Raw genomic sequence first — 19,922 nt, forward strand, 5'->3', positions numbered from 1 at the left:
TCTTTTGCTGAGTTATGATATTTACAATTTATTTTATAATATGTTGACATACAACAGGATTTGGGGGACAAATTTTAAAGTTCTACATAAAGTCCTTAACTTCATTTTTAATAGGATGCTTTACCCTAAATTTTAGTCAACCATTTATAATAACAGATGCTCAGAGATTCCCTAAGTGGCATTTATCAGCAACTCTTCTTCCAAAATATTCTTATAGCTATGAAGAGAGGAAAGATGGCAGGTGTCATGGAAAGACACATCAACTGTGCTGTTGGTTCTTAGTTTATTGAATGTCTTGAAATTAAAAAAGGTACAGCTGCTAGGTCATAACATCTATAAGGAAATTAAACAAATTTACGAGAGAAAAGCAAACAACCCCATTGAAAAGTGGATAAAGGACACGAACAAACACTTTTCAAAACAAAACATACATGTGGGCAACAAGCACATGAAAAGAAAAGCTGAACATCATTGACCATTACAGAAATGCAAGTCAGAACCACAATGAGATACCATCTCATACCAGTCAGAATGGATATTACTAAAAATTAAAAAAAAAAACAGATGCTGGAGAGGGAAACAAAAATGGAGCTGGAGGCCATTATCCTTAGCCAACTAACACAGGAACAGAAAAACACATAGCACATGTTCTCACTTATAAGTGGGAGCTAAATGATGAGAACTCATTAACAGAAAGAAGGAAACAACAGACACTGGGGTCGACCTCAGGGTGGAGAGTGGGATGAGGGAGAGGAGCAGAAAATATAACTATTGGGTACTGAGCTTCCTTAATACCTGGTTGATAAAATAATCTGTGCAACAATCCCACATGACACTAGTTTACCTATACAAGAAACCTTCACATGTACCTAAAATAAAACCTAAAATAAAAAAAAGAAAAAGAAAATAGCTATTGCCGTACCTGTAAATAGATGACTAAAAGTGAAACTCTTCTTTGTGATAACCCACAATGGAAAAGGAGCAAAGTATTATCCATATTTTGGCAAGTTTCAGAATCAATTCTCCATCAAATATCCTCCACTCCAACCCAACACAATAAACAACAGAAGGAAAAAGACTTTGAAATGTAAAACTGGGACTCTTTCAGAGGTTCTTTATACATCTGGAGAGAAAGGAAAACATTTACAGAAGTCAGTTATAGTTAATTTATTTTACAATAGGACGTCTTCATAAAAGTATGTATTTTTATTTAAATATATGGTAACTAAATACATGAGAATCTAAAAAAAATTTAAATGAACTTTTAAATAGATTATGTATATAATGTACAGCAAGACAGAAACAAATATTTATAGTCCAAGAGAATGAATGTTGCTGAATTTCAGCTTGTTTTGGTAGTTCATCACATTATTGCAAAAATAGCAGCAATTATGTTAATAGCCCTCTTCATAACAACTGTAGTTGATAAATGACATCAATTTCATGGTGTCCAGACAAGAATTTAAATTTCTTTTTTGGGGCTCCATAATTCAGACCACAGTGAAATTCTGAAATTTTTGCCTATCTTCATATTGTTTTCTGACTCTTCCTGGGCATCTAGCTAGCTGTATCTGTGAAATATTGTGGAAAGCACTTTGTTCATGGCTTTTTATAATTGTTCAGTTCTCAGTTGAATTATCTTCTCCTCAGGGATGTCTTCCTATAATCACATGTCCAAAAATATCCCAGTTATTCTTTCTATATCTCTATAAGGATGAAGAGAAGTCCATCTATAAATTTTATGTTTATTCTCCTATAAATTACTTATTTTGCTCACTGAAGAATCCATTGATTTTTAAAATGTCTTTAAAGTCTGCATATTATGTATTTGCTATCGACCTGTTTATAAAAGTTGTTTTTTACATTTATATATTTTGGTTTTGTTTCTTTGTTTTTTTCGTATTAGGCAATGTGCTGAAGTCCTAAGCTTTGAGGGAGGCACATCTCATACATGAGCATGAAAACTCATATATCACACTTATGAACCACAAAAGTACCTCATTTTTTAATTGTCTATTCATGTCAATGAGTTTATCTTTTGAAATTGATTTGATTATCAGGATCTATGAATGAAACTACCGATTTTTTTTGTTTCACTTGCCCCATCAAAATGCATTTTATCCACAATAGCAACAATCTCCTTTGAAAAAATAAGCAAATACCACCTAGTAGCGCTCTCATTCTCTTAGACTAAACTCCAACTCCACAGCATTTACTACAGAGCACTGTGTGATATGGCCCCCACCAACTTGTTGACAATATACTTTATTGCAATCAAGACACATGAACCTACTTTCTGATTATAAAAAATAGTAAGTTCATTTTTATGTTGGGAGATTTCCAATTGCACATTCCTTTGTCTAAAATTATTTTCTTCTACATATTTACATGACAAGCTGCCTCTCATAATTTAGTTTTAGCTGAAATAATTATATCTTCTTTTACGTCCTACCTGAAATCCTTTCCAAAGTAAAATGTGCCCCGTTTTGGGGAATGCTCTCTGTCAAAATCCTCTTTGTGTTTCACCATTACACAATCATATTTACCTGAATTCACCATTGCCTATTTAGAAGGTGCACCTTGCTCTCCTTATTCCCTATTATATTCCCAGTAAAGAGAATATTGTATTAGAGGTCTCATTAAATATTTGGTGAATGCTGTTTCTTTCTTCTTGGATAACATGAATAAAAACACTAACTTTATTCTTAAATACAGATTTATGTAAGCTCACTTTATTTCACTAGAAATAATGTCAAGAAGGAGTAAAGTGTCATCATCATTCATGGAAGACCCAGGAGTGACAAGCTAAAAATTTAATGTTTTGTGTGTAATTTTCAAAACAGCCCTATGATAAAGGCATTGCTATTTCATTTTAACAAAATTGGGTACATGATGCTGTGAGAAATTAAGTAAGTCTAAATTCAGAAATTGCCTCAAGCTCTATTTGAAAAATTGATGTTTGTTACACAATTCTAATTCTGTCTATGAAAAAGTCTGCATCATGCTTATTTTTAGTATTCTGTAACATATATAGCAAAATAAAGATTATAATAGTCATTGTTCATATATAATTTTGTGACAGCAGAAAGCAGTATAATCAAATGTAAGAATATCAGTTCATAAGGGATATTTGTGTTTATCAGTTTTAGAAGTAATATGATCTGCTTAGTCACAAGGTCATTATTAGAAAGTTAAATATTTTAAAGTGAAATCGTTGGTTGGCTAGAGCTACACAAAGCATGCTAATGACCTCTACTTATTTGAGAAGTTCAGTGACATAATACATAATACCCATTTATATTCTGCTAAAACCTTCTAGTTATTTAGTTGTACGAATACTGACATACTCTTAGTGGAGTAAAATTTTATAGTAAAAACAGCCACCACAATTAGTTTTCCAAAAAACTAGTTTACAAAAACTATTATATTTTATATAATGATCATGTTGATGATTTAACTTACAAGAACAATGCAAGAGTCTCACATATTTTTCAAACTCAAAAAGTACAAAAATGCACCTGTGAATAACAAGTGATGAATCAAAGACAAGTGGGGAAATAAAACAAACACACAAGAACAACAGCAAAGGGAAAAATAATTTGTTGTGGTTTTTGGGCTGATTTATTGGATACATTTCTGAAGTACCATAAAATTATTGGACATATATAAAGTGTATTGTGGGTGATCAGATTTAAATGTATCTGCTGATGTATTAGTTGAGTAATGCATTGTGCTTCAGAGATGTTTCTCCTAATTCTCTGTGGCATAGAGTCTGCTATTCCATTTATTGGAATAGAAAACTGACTTCTTGCAGCAAAAGACTTTAGTTGAGAAACGTAATTGCTTCAGTATCAGTCAATAACATTTAATCTTACTAGGTTCCTTGAATTTCTAGGTTTGCTCCTTCATTTTTGGATACTAGTCAGAACATCTTCCTGGAAGATTTTGTCCTGGAAGATTTTGTCCTGAAAGATAATTGTCATATCTCTTTTAAGAGCTCTCCTTTAGACTTTCTTCTGAAGAAAATTTCACGTTCTCTGTGCCAATGGGTTATTTTTTTTCTTTTTATCAGAACTTCCCCATTGTATGTTACACCTTATGTGGATATTTTTCTCTCCCTAAATTTTTGCAAAGCTCTAATTCAGACAGAAGTTCAATTCTGAAATGTGCATGTCTGGAGATAACTTCTAATATTAACTGTAGAATTATGTACAATGAATGACTCTAATTCATTTAGTCACTCCATAAAAAATGATCGAGCATCTAATGTATGGCAAACACAGTGTGAAGGACTATGAATTCGAAAGTCACTTTTATTTGGGCCTGACTATCTTGGAGCTTCAGCTGGGAGGGGAAAGAAACTCTTGCAAGATAGTGTTTTATGTACTATGAGAGAAGTGTTTGGCATGTTCTGTTTAAATAACTCAAAGAGGACAACAAAATGTAAACAATGACTAAAAATTTAATTAACTTTATTTTTTCCTGGCTGATTACCAAATTATAAAGAAATACATCATAGCTAAACCAATTAATTTATAATTTCAATATATTTGAAATGTCCTACAATGGTTTGTTATTCAGTAAAAGCTCATTAAATATTTCTTCAAGTAAAGTATAATTATAAAGAAGATGACACTCATTTATTGATGCTGTAAATGTGAATGTTAGTTAATACAGCTAATTATGACTGAAGGTGAGTTATTGCTGCACCATCTGTTCTTAGCACCTCACCTCTCACTTACTGGAGTCTCAGAACTCAGAACAAAATTTGGGAAATTCTGACCCAGGAGATTTTTTCCGGAATTTCCCTCAGACAAAATAATATAACACAATAAAACACACTATAACAAGCCTATTTAGTTTTTTGCTCTTTTTTTTTTAATTAGGAGTCAAAGTTGACAATTATATGATATTTCCATGTCTTATATGTAGGCAAAACAGATTAAGTTATTGATTAATAATCTGTAAGGTCTGGTTTTCTTTTAGCTCACCAATCTGATAGTTCAATCTGAGATCTGATTTTAGCTACTGCCTCCTTTTGAAATGGTCAATTTTATTCTTTTAGGATCGGACTCAAACTGGGTATATGTATTAGGAACCCACAGAATGCTTCAGTGTTTTTTTTGTTCCTGTCTGGGAGAAGAGGGAGAAGAGAATAAGTAGTTGTGTTTGTTAGCATGTGGGTATAGTAAAAATAGCTTCCTTAAACTGGGAAGTAGAGAGGAATGGTGAGAGACCTCAGAAAGAGAGAATTGAGTCCAGGATAAAAGATTTGAAATGCTAGCTTTCCTGAGACTTTGAATTTAATTTGTGGCTACTGTACCTGATGGTAAACACAGCCATATGGTAGAGGGTGACTGAAGAGAATGACCTGGGTTTGGACTGGGAAGCAGGAAGGCTGTTTTAGAAATAATCTTTATATATCTGCTACATTACCAAGAAGAAAATGGTAGATTATATTTACGAGAACATGTCTGTAGGTATTAAAGAAAAAAACAGCTTCAAAGCATCTGAATATCAAGTTATGTAAAGGGAGGCATTACTATTCTATTATATAATCGATCTCAGTGAAGAAACACTTATTTTTAACAAACTGTATTCTTCAATAATGGGAATATATTAATTACAGTGTTTCAACATCTGCAGATCTCATATTTGAATATTTTGAAAGTACACATTCTTTATTAGCTAGGTGATTTATTTGGTTGCCTTAGTAAACAACAAACAACAGTGCCTTAATTAAGAGAAAACCCTCATTTTCTCAATTATACAAAAGTTTAAGCTAACAGGTGGCCCGCAGGATAGGGCACCTGAACTACCAGAGGTCACACAGGTACACAGTTTCCTTTTACCTTCTTCCTTCATCATCTTCATCTGCAAGGCCAAGGCTGGTCCATTAGCACCCCTTCTCATACTAGTGATCAGGATGGGGAGGAGAAAAAAGCTTCCCCTGAAGGATGTAATTGAAAAATTTTACATATCATTTTTCCCTCATATCTCATTGAGTAGCGCTAAATTACACATTAAGTCTTTCCTGCAAGAGGGGCTGTTTTTGCTAGCTAGGTAGCACTAAACACAGCATAATTTGTTCTTACCTTACTAAGTGAAAGGAAGAAAAATGAATATTGAGATAAAACTACACATCTCTATGCTACTTCCATGAAATTAGAAAAAAAAATGAGGCCTATGATATTATTTGGTATATTTTACCTCGTTAAACAAGACACAAAAATACATACTACTCTTCTAAGGAATGCAGTTTTAAAATTACTAAAAATTCCTTGTTTAAAAAAATCTGATGTTTGTCAATGAATTTATTACTAAAGAATTATTAAACATATTATAATATTCCCATACTGCTATTAAAGTTATTTGTAGTTCAATTTTAAATATAATAAAAATAAATGGCAAAAATGTAGTTAGCTTGCCAAAAAGCATTTAAGATTCTGAGACAGAATGATACCTAGGATACCGATATGTAATCTCTTTATTTTTAGGTTATTTCAGAACACAAAACTCCCAACTATCTATGTAGCAAGTTATATGCATGAACTTATAAGGATTCAGACATTTTAAAAATATTATTTTTATAAAACTGACACAAATCTAAAGAAAACCTAGTAACATACACTAAAAAATTAAAAGTAGCATGTTTATATCTTTTCTTTTATCTTTTACACAGGAAGATATACAAATGTCACTTCCTTTTCACATTCAATAGAAAAGTGGCTAAAGGTAGTAAAAAATGTACCACCAAAGCATGAGAAAAACATACAATAAAAACAACTGTATTATTAGAAATAAATTATTATAATATGATTATATATAAAAAAATTCTGGAATTTCTTATTGATCAGTTATGCTCCTAACCTGTACTTGATAGAGTAAATATAATTGCTTTGTATTAGAAATATTTTTCAGTCTATCAGCTAACACACTTGAAACATAAGCATTTTTCTCTGACATGTATATTTTAAAAACTGTTGTGGTACTTTTCTTATACATACAGCTTAACATACACACATATATGCCACATGTATGGTTTGTATTATATAAAACATAATAAAATTAAATATATTACTTAACTGAAATTTCAATAGTATATCTGTAAATTATTTCATTCTTGCTTTCCAGATATATGGAGCACAGTTCTTTCTTATCAGAGCGATTGAAACGGAAGAAATGAGGACAAATAAATTTTTGATTGATGTTGCTTTAAATTCAGGTTCTCCAACATAAATATTAATTGGCCTTGTTTAATTATTTCCAGACTGTTCTAGTTATCTTTAATATTATCCATGGGACTAATATGTCCAGATGATTTACCGTCCTAATCTCACTACCTCTTTCATTAGTTCCAGCATTAGTTCCTCTTACTTCACAATCAGAAAATAAAATAAAAATGGATAAATTTATCTGTACATTCATCCACATTTTACTCCAACTATAACAGATATTATTTCTCATGTGTTAAAAAGTTAATGTTGTTGATTAATCTTATTTCCCTTGCATTTTCAAAATTCCGTCTCAAATATCTGCATGACATCAGCATTAAAAAAAGATTCTTCAAAGCTTCAAAACAAAGTTAAGAATTTTGTTTTTAAGAAAGCATGCTCAGTTTTGCCTTTTATTACTTGCTGTCTTAACTTGTCCTAATTTTGCAAATTGTCCTAATATGTACCAATGAATAAAGAAACATGTTCTAATAACATATTCTCAAAGTTCACAGTTAAAAATTTAAAATAATAACTATTGCCAGTCATAGAAGAGCCAATTATTTCAAATGCACACCCACAAGACAACTTTAAACATGTGTTTTCTCCACTTCAACTCACTTTTGCTCTTGAACACACTTTCTTTTGCCCCGTATAAAAATAGAACCATTCTCCAATGCTCTCTAGTACATTGCATTACTTTTTAAAAACACATTAATACTTACACCTTTCTTTATTTTCTGCCTTTCCATCCACAATCAAATGTAAGTACCATGAGAAAAAGAACTTGATGCATTTATTCCCTCAGCACACTCATCTCAAAAAGTTTGTTTTGCATGTAACTGCTTGATATTTATTTGCCAAATAAATGAATAAAAATAAATGAAGTTTATTCTTTTCCTCTGGTGAGGTAAATGATAGAGTTAAGTAATATTAAAATGAAAAAGGTTCTCAGCAATCATTTAGTCATATTGCCAATGCCATACAAGTAAATGCGTGATCAGGGAAATCAAGGCAATTGCTAATATTTAAGTTTTAGTGGATTTCAATGATAAACAGTTTAATAATTTTAGTATATTTTCTGAATGACCTTGAAGTTAAATTCTCAGTTCCTTCTAATTGAATGTGATTATCTCCAATTCTATATATAAATCACATTTCCAATCCTGAATATACATGTTAATAGTAAGAATATATTTGTGTAATATGTAAGGATCCTGACTATCATCAAGATTTTATTTCAATTTGATCTAGCTGTTGATTATCTCTTCCAGTTCATATTTGCTTCATCTATTTGTATTTATATTTCTATTTTTGTAAACTATTGAGTAAATTTCTATTACATTATCCAATCCATAAACAAGGAAATGGGAAGTAATTTGTATGTTTTATCTCAGTAAAAGTCTGGAATATAGGAGTTACATTTTTTATTTCACTGAATTTCAATCAGCTTGGATGTAGCAACTGTTGATTGACCTGAATAAAGTGTACCTCTCAACAAGTTGATTTAAGTCTACTTTGCTGCTACAAAAGATTCTAAAATATGTGCTATTTTAGACAACCATCTGGTCCCCTAAATTCAAAACTTTACTTGACTGCAGTCTTAGGAAACAAACTTTTTGTTTCTAATTAAATCATGTTTTACTCTGTTGTACATAAAACTTGAAATGTGGCAAGTATTTTTTGGTTTCAACTTATGTGAATAATTTTTTGTCATGAATCTTGCCTGAGGTAAGCACACAGAACAGTTAGTAGGAAATCAATCATAATGAATAACGGGGCTTAGATTTCTCAAAGTGTTACAAAAAGTAGGAAGGAAGGAAGGAAGGAAGGAAGGAAGGAAGGAAAAGGAAGGAAGGAAGGAAGGATTTATTGTAGTGTATTGTAACCATTTTTTTATTAGTCAGTGGCAAATTTTCTACTAAAATGTGAAAAATGACTAATTCAAGATTTCTGTAAATTACTAATGCTGTCATACCACCTTTTTGGGCCTCTAATCTCATGAAGTTTCTTTCAATGAAGTTTAGTGAAAATACTGATATTTTTGTTATTCTTTCAATGACAAGGACAATTCTTTTCAGCATTGAAGAGATAACTAGAGGCTGCTGAACAATCATGGCTCTGCAATATGAGACATACCATATTATGTTTCCAATGGTGTTGTTCGGTGGTGACTTCTATTAATGCTTTCAGTAAAACACTTGGAATGTTCTTTGAAGGGTTTATGTATTACAGAAGTATTTATAAAGTGCATATTGTGGCATGCCATGTATCAGAAGTTAGAGGTATAGAGTTAAATAAGATTGACGTAGTATTTGTTCTCAGGAAAGAGTCTATTTGATGAAAGAGCAGTTTCTGACTCAACTCTTAAATTTAGTGTATTATTCCATTTTCACACTGCTATAAAGAACTGCCCAAGACTGAGTAATTGATAAATGCAAAAGGTTTAATTGACTCACAGTTCCACATGGCTAGGGATGCCTCAGGAAACTTACAATCATGGTGGAAGTCAAAGGGGAAGCAAGGAGTTTCTTCACATGGTGGCAGGAGAGAGAAGAGTGAAGGGGGAAGAGACCTTTATAAAACCATCAGCTGTCATGAGATCTCACTGACTATCACAAGAACATTATGGGGAAAACCACCTCTTTGATCCAATCACCTTCCTCCCTTGAGATGTGGAGATTATAACTCAAGATGAGATTTGGGTGGGGACACAAAGCCTAAGTTGTCATTCTGCCCCTGGCCCCTCCCAAATCACATGCCACTTTCACTTGTGCCAATCACCAACTTTTGGCCAATCAAATGTAGCCAACTGTTTGAAACCTGTTCAAATAAGGAAAACATCAAACTGTAACCAATCTACCTGTTTCTGTACCTCATTTCCATTTTCTATATGTTACTTTTCTTCTTTTGTCCATAAATCTTCCACCACGTGGCTGTGCTGGAGTATTTGAGCCTACTCTGGCTTGGAAGACTGCTTGATTCATGAATAATTCTTTGCTCAATTAAACTCCTTTAAATTTAATTTGGCTGATGTTTTTGTTTTATCAAGGTGGTGTCTTCAACAGCATTCTGTCAGTAATGGACAGTTCCAGCAGTTAGAAAATCAATAAGGACATGGTTGAACTGAATGGCACCATCAATCAAATATCTCTAATTGACATATATACAATACTTTATACAACAGTGTCAGAACACACATTCTTCTCAATCTCACATGGAATATTCACCAAGACGGATCACATTTGGGACCATAAAATGCAACATAACAAATTTAAAAGAACAGAAATCACACAAAATATTATCTCAGACATAATGAAAATAAACAAACATCAATAACAGAGAGATAGCTTAAAAAATTCCAAATACTTAGAAATTAAACAAAATACTTCTAAGCAACACATGGATCAAAATAAGTCTCAAGAGAAATGTTAAAATATTTTGAACTAAATGAAATTAAATGTATAACTTAAAATTTGTGGGATGCAGTTATCTTTGGAATCTAGAAAAATAAAAGCAAATTAAGCACAAAGTTAGGAGAAGAATAGGAATAAAACTCAGAGCAAAATCTAATGAAATTAAAAACAGTAAACTAATAAAATGTCAACAAAATCAACAGCTCAAAATATCAATAAACTAGAGAATAAGCTAGTTACGCTACATACTAGAGGAGTAGTATTCTAAACAGAGGGAACCGTGTTAAGGTAGTATACTAAAAAGGATGACCAATTTTTAAATAAAAGTAAAGAAGTTACTGTGTTTAGAAGTTTAGTGTGGATAATGAAAGTGTAGATCAGGAGCCAAGTCATGTACTGCCTTGTAGGAAATGGTAAGGAGTTAGCATTCTGTAAGTGAATTCAAAAGAACTTTGAAAATTTTAAGTGATCACATCACTTGCTTTACATATTTTTACAATCTTTCTGACTATACGGTTAAAAATGATTAAAGACGGACATGTTTAGGAGCAAAAGAGAAGTAATTTGACTTTTGAGAAGGTTGGTTGAAAATGACAGGGACGTATATGTTGGGGTGGTAGTCAAGGTGAAAAACAAGCTAATGTCTTAGAGATAAAATATTATGGAGAATACATTTCTACGAGCATACTGCTTAATTCTAAACTCTTAATTTAAAGAGGAACCATCAAATTATACTTCAAAAAGAATTACAAAATTATATTTCAACCAATAATGTGTTAATAACGGTTATCAGTATTATTTATCATTATTTATGTCTCTAATTTTACCTTCAAAATTTAATGGCTCTATCTTCCACAGCAAGCAGTTAAAGTTGAACTTATTTAATTTGAGTGAAATCCTCCTATAGCCATCATGCCCATCTTTTAGGTATTTGTTCACATACCCCATGATTTCCGTGGTCAACTTCTGTAATAATGTGCAGTGTCCTAAATTTATATCCTACAGATGCTCCCATGAGAGCTTGGAAAATTTAAATTATCTGAGCTTAATTCATCATCTGTAAAACTGTAACAAAGAAGTTATATCTTCCCTATTTATAATGTGGTTTTAAGATATTGAAAGTAGTTTCTAATAGTAAGAGAAAAAAATGATAGAAAGTAATTATTTATAAAATAATTTTAGAATAAGACCTTAGTTTTTAAATAATAACTTTATTGATGTATAATCATCTACCATACAAGTCACTCATTTAAAATTTACAGTTTAATGGTTTTTAATATGTTCAGATTTGTACAATACTTTTACCTCAATTAACTTTAAAATATTTTCACTATGCCTCCCAAAAAAAAAAAAAAAAAACCATTGCCATTAGCAGTCAATCTCCTTCCATTTCCCTCAGCATCATCAGTCCTAGGAAATAATTAATCTGCTTTATGCTTCTACTGATTTGCCTATTCTTTATAGATAGATAGATACATAGATAGATAGACAGATAGATGATAGACTCTTGTAATATGTAGTCTTTTGTGACTAAATTATTTCACATAAAATAATGTTTTTAAAATTTATACATATATGTAGCATGTATCAGTGCTTAATTTTTTATAGAGTCAAATCATATTTTATTATATAAATATATCACATTTTATTTATTCATCAATTGATGAATATTCAGTTTGATGACATTTTGGGCTTATATGAATAATGCTGCTATAAACATTTTGTGCACACGTTTTTGTGTGGATTTTTGTTTTCAATTTTCTTGTGTATATACTAGAGTGGAAATTGTTGGGTTGTATGATAACTCCATGTATAAACTTTGGGGAACTGACAATTGTTTTCCAAAGCAGTTGCAAAATTTTACATATCTGCTGGAAGTATATGAGGGTTTTGATTTCTCTGCATCCCCCTCAACACTTGGTATTATTTGATTTTCAATTCTAGTAGGTGTGAGTTGGTATCTTGTTGTGGTTTTTGATTTGCATTTCTCTGGTGGCAATTGCTTACCACCAAACTTGAATTGTTTTAGAGTATCCTGATCTCTTTAACTTAACTCAGAGTGAACTTACCCAAGTTTTATCTGTTCCAAATAAAATCATTTTCCTTAGGAAAAGCTTTATAGTGCTGTGTTTACATGACATGGCTGAGGTCCCAGCCATGGGAGACCTTTTCTCTCTGTCTGAGAAAGAGAGTCCCAGAAATAATGATTATTCATTCTTGGGAGAGAACTTCTGCAACACAGAGCTGGGGTAGATGAGAAATGCTGGTGGTCTGCCCCTCTGGTGAGATACTGTAGCCCTTGACAGGAAAGTTGGGGAAAAGGAACACTATCTCCTTGCTTTTATACACCCAGTGTAAAGCTTTGGCCATGCTGACTTAGGGAGGTAATAAAGGAAGCTGGTCATATCTCAAGTATTATGGACTACTGCTGTTCTTATGGAGATTTAAATTTTCTAGTTTCTTTTTACCTTGTATCGCTTCAGGACAATTTTCAGAGACTTTACATGTTTTCTTTGTTTTTCTACTTTTTACGAGTTTTGGTTGTTTAAATGGAAAGCATATGCACAACGAAACAAACTTGAACAGCTACTCCAGAAGTCACCTTCCAAATTTGGATTTCTTTCCTCCACAAAAGAATAAATGATTAAGATGCTTAAAAATACTTAAGCAGCTAAATTCTATCTCAGATGTATCTGTTAACTGTATGTGATTTTATGTTTTATTTTTAAATAACATTTTATAAACTGTAAGAAATATTTTAAAAGTTTATAAATGTTGTATGGATTAATAATTTATGAAAAAAACCACAAAAACTTAGTAGCCACTTCCTAGGATAAACATAGAAACATATATTTGTTTTGGATTTGAAAATTTCAATGGCCTGGACATATACAATTTTCATAAAGTGGAAGTATGTAGAAAGCGTTTTCCTTCATTTTATTGTGTCAGGTTTAAATAGACTTTTAAAGAATAACAGAAACTATGGTTGAAAATATAAATATCTACTTTCATGTTCAGCACTAACAGACACAGTTTGAAAGTTATGACTCCTGTATTATATCAAAAAATTAGAAAAAAATCAATGTCTTGAACATGTCAGAAAAAATGAGATCACAGGGCAAATTGCTAGCCTTGAAATGTAGAGAGATAGGTATATGCAAAAAGATGTGGCAATTGATATCTGTTTATTTGCAGCAAAAACTTCTGGAACAATAAGCTAATAGGAACTCTGTTGGTTTGTTCTTTTTTTCTCTTTGTATTTAAGTTTTAAACCTCTTTTCTTCTATATTCAAGCTCATGATTATTTTCATAATTTTTTCAGTCTACGGAGGAGCTCATCAAAGACATTCTTGATTTCTGTATTTTTTTTGTAATTTCTAGCATTTCCTTTGACTTTTTTTCTGAACACGTCCATCTCCCTTCTCATACTACACATCTGTTCTTACATGTTGTTAACATTTTTCATTAGAGCCCTTAATATATTAGCTGTAGTTATTTTTAATTACTTGTCTCATAAATTCAAAGTCAATGTCATATGTGAATCTGGTTCTTTTTTTTTTCCATTTTAATTTGTAGATATTTTCTTTTTTATTTATTTATTTATTTATTTTTATTATTATACTTTAAGTTTTAGGGTACATGTGCACATTGTGCAGGTTAGTTACATATGTATACATGTGCCATGCTGGTGCGCTGCACCCACTAACTCGTCATCTAGCATTAGGTATATCTCCCAATGCTATCCCTCCCCCACTCCCCCCCACCCCACAACAGTCCCCAGAGTGTGATATTCCCCTTCCTGTGTCCATGTGATCTCATTGTTCAATTCCCACCTATGAGTGAGAATATGCGGTGTTTGATTTTTTGTTCTTGCGATAGTTTACTGAGAATGATGATTTCCAATTTCATCCATGTCCCTACAAAGGACATGAACTCATCATTTTTTATGGCTGCATAGTATTCCATGGTGTATATGTGCCATATTTTCTTAATCCAATCTATCATTGTTGGACATTTGGGTTGGTTCCCAGTCTTTGCTATTGTGATAATGCCGCAATAAACATATGTGTGCATGTGTCTTTATAGCAGCATGATTTATAGTCCTTTGGGTATATACCCAGTAATGGGATGGCTGGGTCAAATGGTATTTCTAGTTCTAGATCCCTGAGGAATCGCCACACTGACTTCCACAATGGTTGAACTAGTTTACAGTCCCACCAACAGTGTAAAAGTGTTCCTATTTCTCCACACCCTCTCCAGCACCTGTTGTTTCCTGACTTTTTAATGACTGCCATTCTAACTGGTGTGAGATGGTATCTCATTGTGGTTTTGATTTGCATTTCTCTGATGGCCAGTGATGGTGAGCATTTTTTCATGTGTTTTTTGTCTGCATAAATGTCTTCTTTTGAGAAGTGTCTGTTCATGTCCTTCACCCACTTTTTGATGGGGTTGTTTGTTTTTTTCTTGTAAATTTGTTTGAGTTCATTGTAGATTCTGGATATTAGCCCTTTGTCAGATGAGTAGGTTGTGAAAATTTTCTCCCATTTTGTAGGTTGCCTGTTCACTCTGATGGTAGTTTCTTTTGCTGTGCAGAAGCTCTTTAGTTTAATTAGATCCCATTTGTCAATTTTGTCTTTTGTTGCCATTGCTTTTGGTGTTTTAGACATGAAGTCCTGGCCCATGCCTATGTCCTGAATGGTAATGCCTAGGTTTTCTTCTAGGGTTTTTATGGTTTTAGGTCTAACGTTTAAGTCTTTAATCCATCTTGAATTGATTTCTGTATAAGGTGTAAGGAAGCGATTGGTTCTGATGCGTCCTATGCATCTTCAGACTGTACTTGGCTTTTAGAATGACTAGTAATTTTACTGTTGAAAGCTGTTCATTTTGTATCAGGTAACAAGAACTGAGAAAATAAGCTTTTTTGTAAGGATCGATGTTACTGTGGCTAGGAGTTGACCTGTTTTCTGTAGCCATAGATGCCAGCAATTTCAACTATATGTATTTGTCTATCTTGTTGTCTTTGGGATTCACTAAGTACTTCCCTTAAGGGAGAGTATTTTTCCTGAAGCTCTTTTCTCTGTAATCCACTGTTATTGTATTGGAGGCATCATAATTAATGGTAAAGGGATGACTAAAGGGAAGCATTCTATAATCTTATGACTAGATCCATCATTTAATGGCCTATTATTTGAGGCACAGTCCTCTACAGTGTTTCTTAGCTCATTTTACCCTTTTATGTAAAACAGAAAGGTTAAAAGGGGCTGCAGTCAGAGCAATGTTTCTCCTTCATGTCAGATCAGACTTTGTTAAAATCTTTTTCCTTAGAAAGTAGGCCTTTCTTAGGAAGAACACAATGAGCATATTTCACAATGGTTGATGTTTCTCTTTTTCTTCCAGTACAGTGAGGATATCTTTCCTGATTCTTCACTTAGTGGAGTTTCTCATGATAACATTCACTAAAGAGTTGTGGGCATCCTAAGGGGGCAAGTTTCTCACTCTCACATTAGTTCACACTCAGCCTCCAGTAATTCTTTAAAATGTCATTTAAAGGTTTCTACCAGTTCTTGGATTAGCGAGATCTATTTCAGATATGCAGATCTTGGCTAGGACTAAAGAATTTCTCTCTCTCCAAATACTAGGATGGTAGATTGCTCTGCAACCTTACTTATGTGATGGGTTCAAAAAATGTAAATAATTTTCTATTTGCTCAGCTTTAAAATAATTAAGTGAAGTAACAACTTCAGAAGCTCTTTACATGTTGGTGTTGAAATTGAAATTCTTAATAATCACTTTAGATATAGTTGTGTAAGCATCCAAATAAAAGATAAGGATTATCAGAGTGCATAAGTGAAAATAATTCTGTTCTTTATTTAAAAGCTCATTTTAAATGTAAATACTCAGACAGATTAAAAGTAGAAGAACAATAAAAAATATACCATGCTAACAGTAATCAAAGAAAGCTAGAATAGCTATATAAATTTCGGAACAGAGTTCAAATGAAGTTAATCAAGAATAAAGAGCATGATGTTAACGGGGTCAGTTGTCCAAGAAAGCATAATGATTCAAGGCATCTCTGCTTTTAAAACAGTACTTCAAAATATATATGTTTAAAAAAATCCCGATAGAGTTTAATGGAAAAATATAGAAATCCCTGTGATAGTTGGTGACTTCCCTACCTTTTGTCAATAATTGATATAAAAAAGGGCAGAACATTTATAATTATACAGAAGACACAAATAGCACTTTAAGTCAACATGATATAATTGACATTTATAGACATTCAATCCAAAGCAGCAGAATATACATTTTTTTCAAGCTCACATTGAACAATTACAAAGGTATAACAACTGAGATATTGAACACATCTTAAGAAATTTAAAAGAATAAAAATAATATAATGTATTTTTTAAAACAGAAGTTTATTAGAAAGGAACCAAGAAGAGGTAGTTGGAAAAGTCCCCAACATTAAGAAATAAACACATTTCTAAATAATTCAAGGGTTAAAAAGAAGTCTTAAGAGAAATACATACACACATACACATATAAATGAAGAACAAAATCAAATGTATTAAAATTAGTTGGATGCTATGAAAGCAGTACTGAAATGAAAATTATTAAATGCATATATTAGGAAGAAGCATCTAAAATTAATAATCAAAGCTTCTATTTCGGGATTCTAGGACCCAAATATGTTGGTAAACTATTATATCCTCTAGCCTAGCTTGGAAGAAAGAGCAGTTTGAAGCAGCCAGAAAGTACTTTATAGCTTTATCTGCTACATTTAAACCTCAGACAGATGCAGAGATGAAGGCGAAAGACAAAAATCTCTGTCTTCAAATATATTACTAAGTAGGTGAGGGTTAGTATGCTATTATCTTCATGCCACATTCAGCCTTTAAAATATTTTTGTTGTTATTGTTGTTGTTATTTGTTCGTTTGTTATTTTAGCCCTATTTCAAACTTTTAAAACCCGGTAAGTCACAAATCCTGTCACATACATTTGTTTCAGTGAATTTCACATTAAACTGTTATTTGTTGCTAGTTTCTATACAATGGTTTAAAATGAAGCTGCCCGCCTGTGCTCTGAGATGGGGAGCAGCAATTGAATGATTATCCACAGGAGGGTTATCGTGAAAAAGCAGCAGCAATCACTGAAAAAGTGCTCCCAACTTTATAAAAATAACTATAACTGTTAAAGGTCATCTTTTGTAATAAAGCTTTACAAATATATTACAAGTTCATTATTTACAATATAAATTATCTCCCTTAAAGATCTCTGTTAAGGGTTTCAAAATAGGTCAAGCCATTTTTCCTAACACAAACTGTACAAAAAATTAATAATTATGCTCATTTACACACTTAGCCTATGATTTGAAAGTCAAGTTATTTTATTTTTATTGAATACGACAGTTTTTTGAACTTAAAGTTAATTGTTAAATAGTGTAGAATAATAACATATGTCTGATTTAGAATTTGTATATAAAACTTAAGAAATGTTTGAAATAGAAGAGCAACATTTTTCATAGAGGTAAGATTTGAAATAAGAAAGTTCCAACTTTGAAAGTATTATCAAGTTATACTGCTGGGACTGAAGATACAAATATTTTAATGTTTAGAATGACAATAGGATTAAAGTGGTATCAAACTTCAAAAATAATCAGGAAGTTTAAATATGTTAATTTTGGAAGAAAATGAGTAAGATGGTAATTGTTGCTCATATAAATGTCTAGCACGACTGCTTTTGGGGGTTAATCCTTTAAAAAGCCCTATGTGAAACAAACAATTTCAGAAAATGAATAAGATAAGAAATAATTTATTATTCAGTCTAGCTTGTCAAATACAATCTAAAAATAAATAAAATACTTACGAAAATAAGCTAAGTACCACAAAAAATTATCAAATTGAAATTATCAAATTGAAACAAAATTATAACGGAAATATTAGCAATTTACAACAGTGCTGGCAAACATTAAGAAACAATCAGTATATATACATTATACCTATTAAGCTTTAGATAATATTTTATGTTACATAGATGTTGATTAACATGATGAAACAATAACCAGATAATCCTTAATTGGGAAAAAAATTATAGAGGGGCTGTGGGTAAGAGCTTTGGCACATTTGTGTTGATGATACTTACAAGTTTTTGTTGCATCTCTTTATTTCCAATTCTGATTTGTAATTTTTTACATGGACATGCTATTTATAGGTACACAAAATAGAAATCTCCTGATTTTTTGTCACTGAAATTTATCATTAAATACATTTAATTCAGTAATAACTTATAAAAGCTAGATCTATATCTTGAAACTTTTGAGGAAAATATGGCAATGGATTGTTAACAGGTGTGTTACCAAGATCTTGCACATTATGCAAAAGGCCATAGACATTAATATTGTATATTTTTAGTAAATGATTAGTGATAGTATATTTAGTAATTTTCCCTGTGCATAAGAAATAATTTCTGATTATTTTCAAATAATTAAATTATATATTTTACTTATTAACAGCCAAGTTGTCTAAAAGAAGGTAAGTTTCAGGAATGTGTAAAAAATTAGTTTTGTCAAGGAGCTACCTCCATTATAGAGGATAAGACTTTGCATTATTTTATTGGAATATTTAAGGACAAGAATAATTGTTAAGTATTTAAAAATTGACTCCCAGACACCAGATATTTGGAACACACAGACACTAACATTTTACTGTTAACTAAGTTCTTTTGGAGAACTTTAGTTCTGATTTATGCTTATGTTATTTTTGTCTTTTTGGCAAGACAGATTTTAAACACTCTTAATAAAGAAATCTCACTGCCAGAAACAGCGTTCTAAGTAGATTACATGTTCTGACTTCCTTGCTTTCTTTGGTTCCAGATAATGTTCCAAGCTCAGTTCTTTGACATCTCTATTTACTCTCATAAGCTACAAAAATATCTCTCTGTTGAAGTCTTCCGTGTTTAAGTTAGGAATACATAGTTTCTTTTATGTGTAACCAATAAACTGGACTCATATAGAAATTGGTACCAGTAGGGAATTATAGATAAAAAAATATACTAACAAACATTACCTGGTCTTTTAGGAACTGAATGTGATGAAAGTACTAAGGGAAAATACAGAAAATAATCAGGAATGAGACCCGGGCAACCCAAGTCATTCCATGTCAAAATAGCTAATTAAATAATTGGCTGTTGTCATCTTAAATGAAATCACATTGAAAGCAAGGCTTTCAAGGACTCATCCAGCATTGCCATAAATGTTATGTAATGCAAGGATTGTGAATTGAAGTGTTCACA

At 31.8% G+C, this 19,922-nt stretch overlaps 1 long non-coding RNA gene and 1 other non-coding gene across 2 annotated transcripts in view; both read right to left on the reverse strand.

The window, feature by feature from the left end:
• Nucleotides 1–264: 264 nt before the first annotated feature.
• The window catches only part of LINC01192 (long intergenic non-protein coding RNA 1192), a 126,059-nt gene continuing 106,401 nt past the window's right edge, over nt 265–19,922 (reverse strand). Inside the window, exons 5-7 of the long non-coding RNA NR_033945.1 lie at nt 10,090–10,286; nt 5,853–5,950; nt 265–1,123 (exon numbers count right to left, since the gene is read on the reverse strand). This is a non-coding gene — a long non-coding RNA (long intergenic non-protein coding RNA 1192). The remainder of the gene's footprint in view (nt 1,124–5,852; nt 5,951–10,089; nt 10,287–19,922) is intronic.
• On the reverse strand, nt 1,896–1,997 carry LOC124906371 (small nucleolar RNA U13). The gene has a single exon (XR_007096338.1). It is a non-coding gene; the product is annotated as a small nucleolar RNA U13 (small nucleolar RNA).

The sequence above is a fragment of the Homo sapiens genome, chromosome 3, assembly GCF_000001405.40.
Source record: "Homo sapiens chromosome 3, GRCh38.p14 Primary Assembly".
Lineage (NCBI taxonomy): Eukaryota > Metazoa > Chordata > Mammalia > Primates > Hominidae > Homo > Homo sapiens.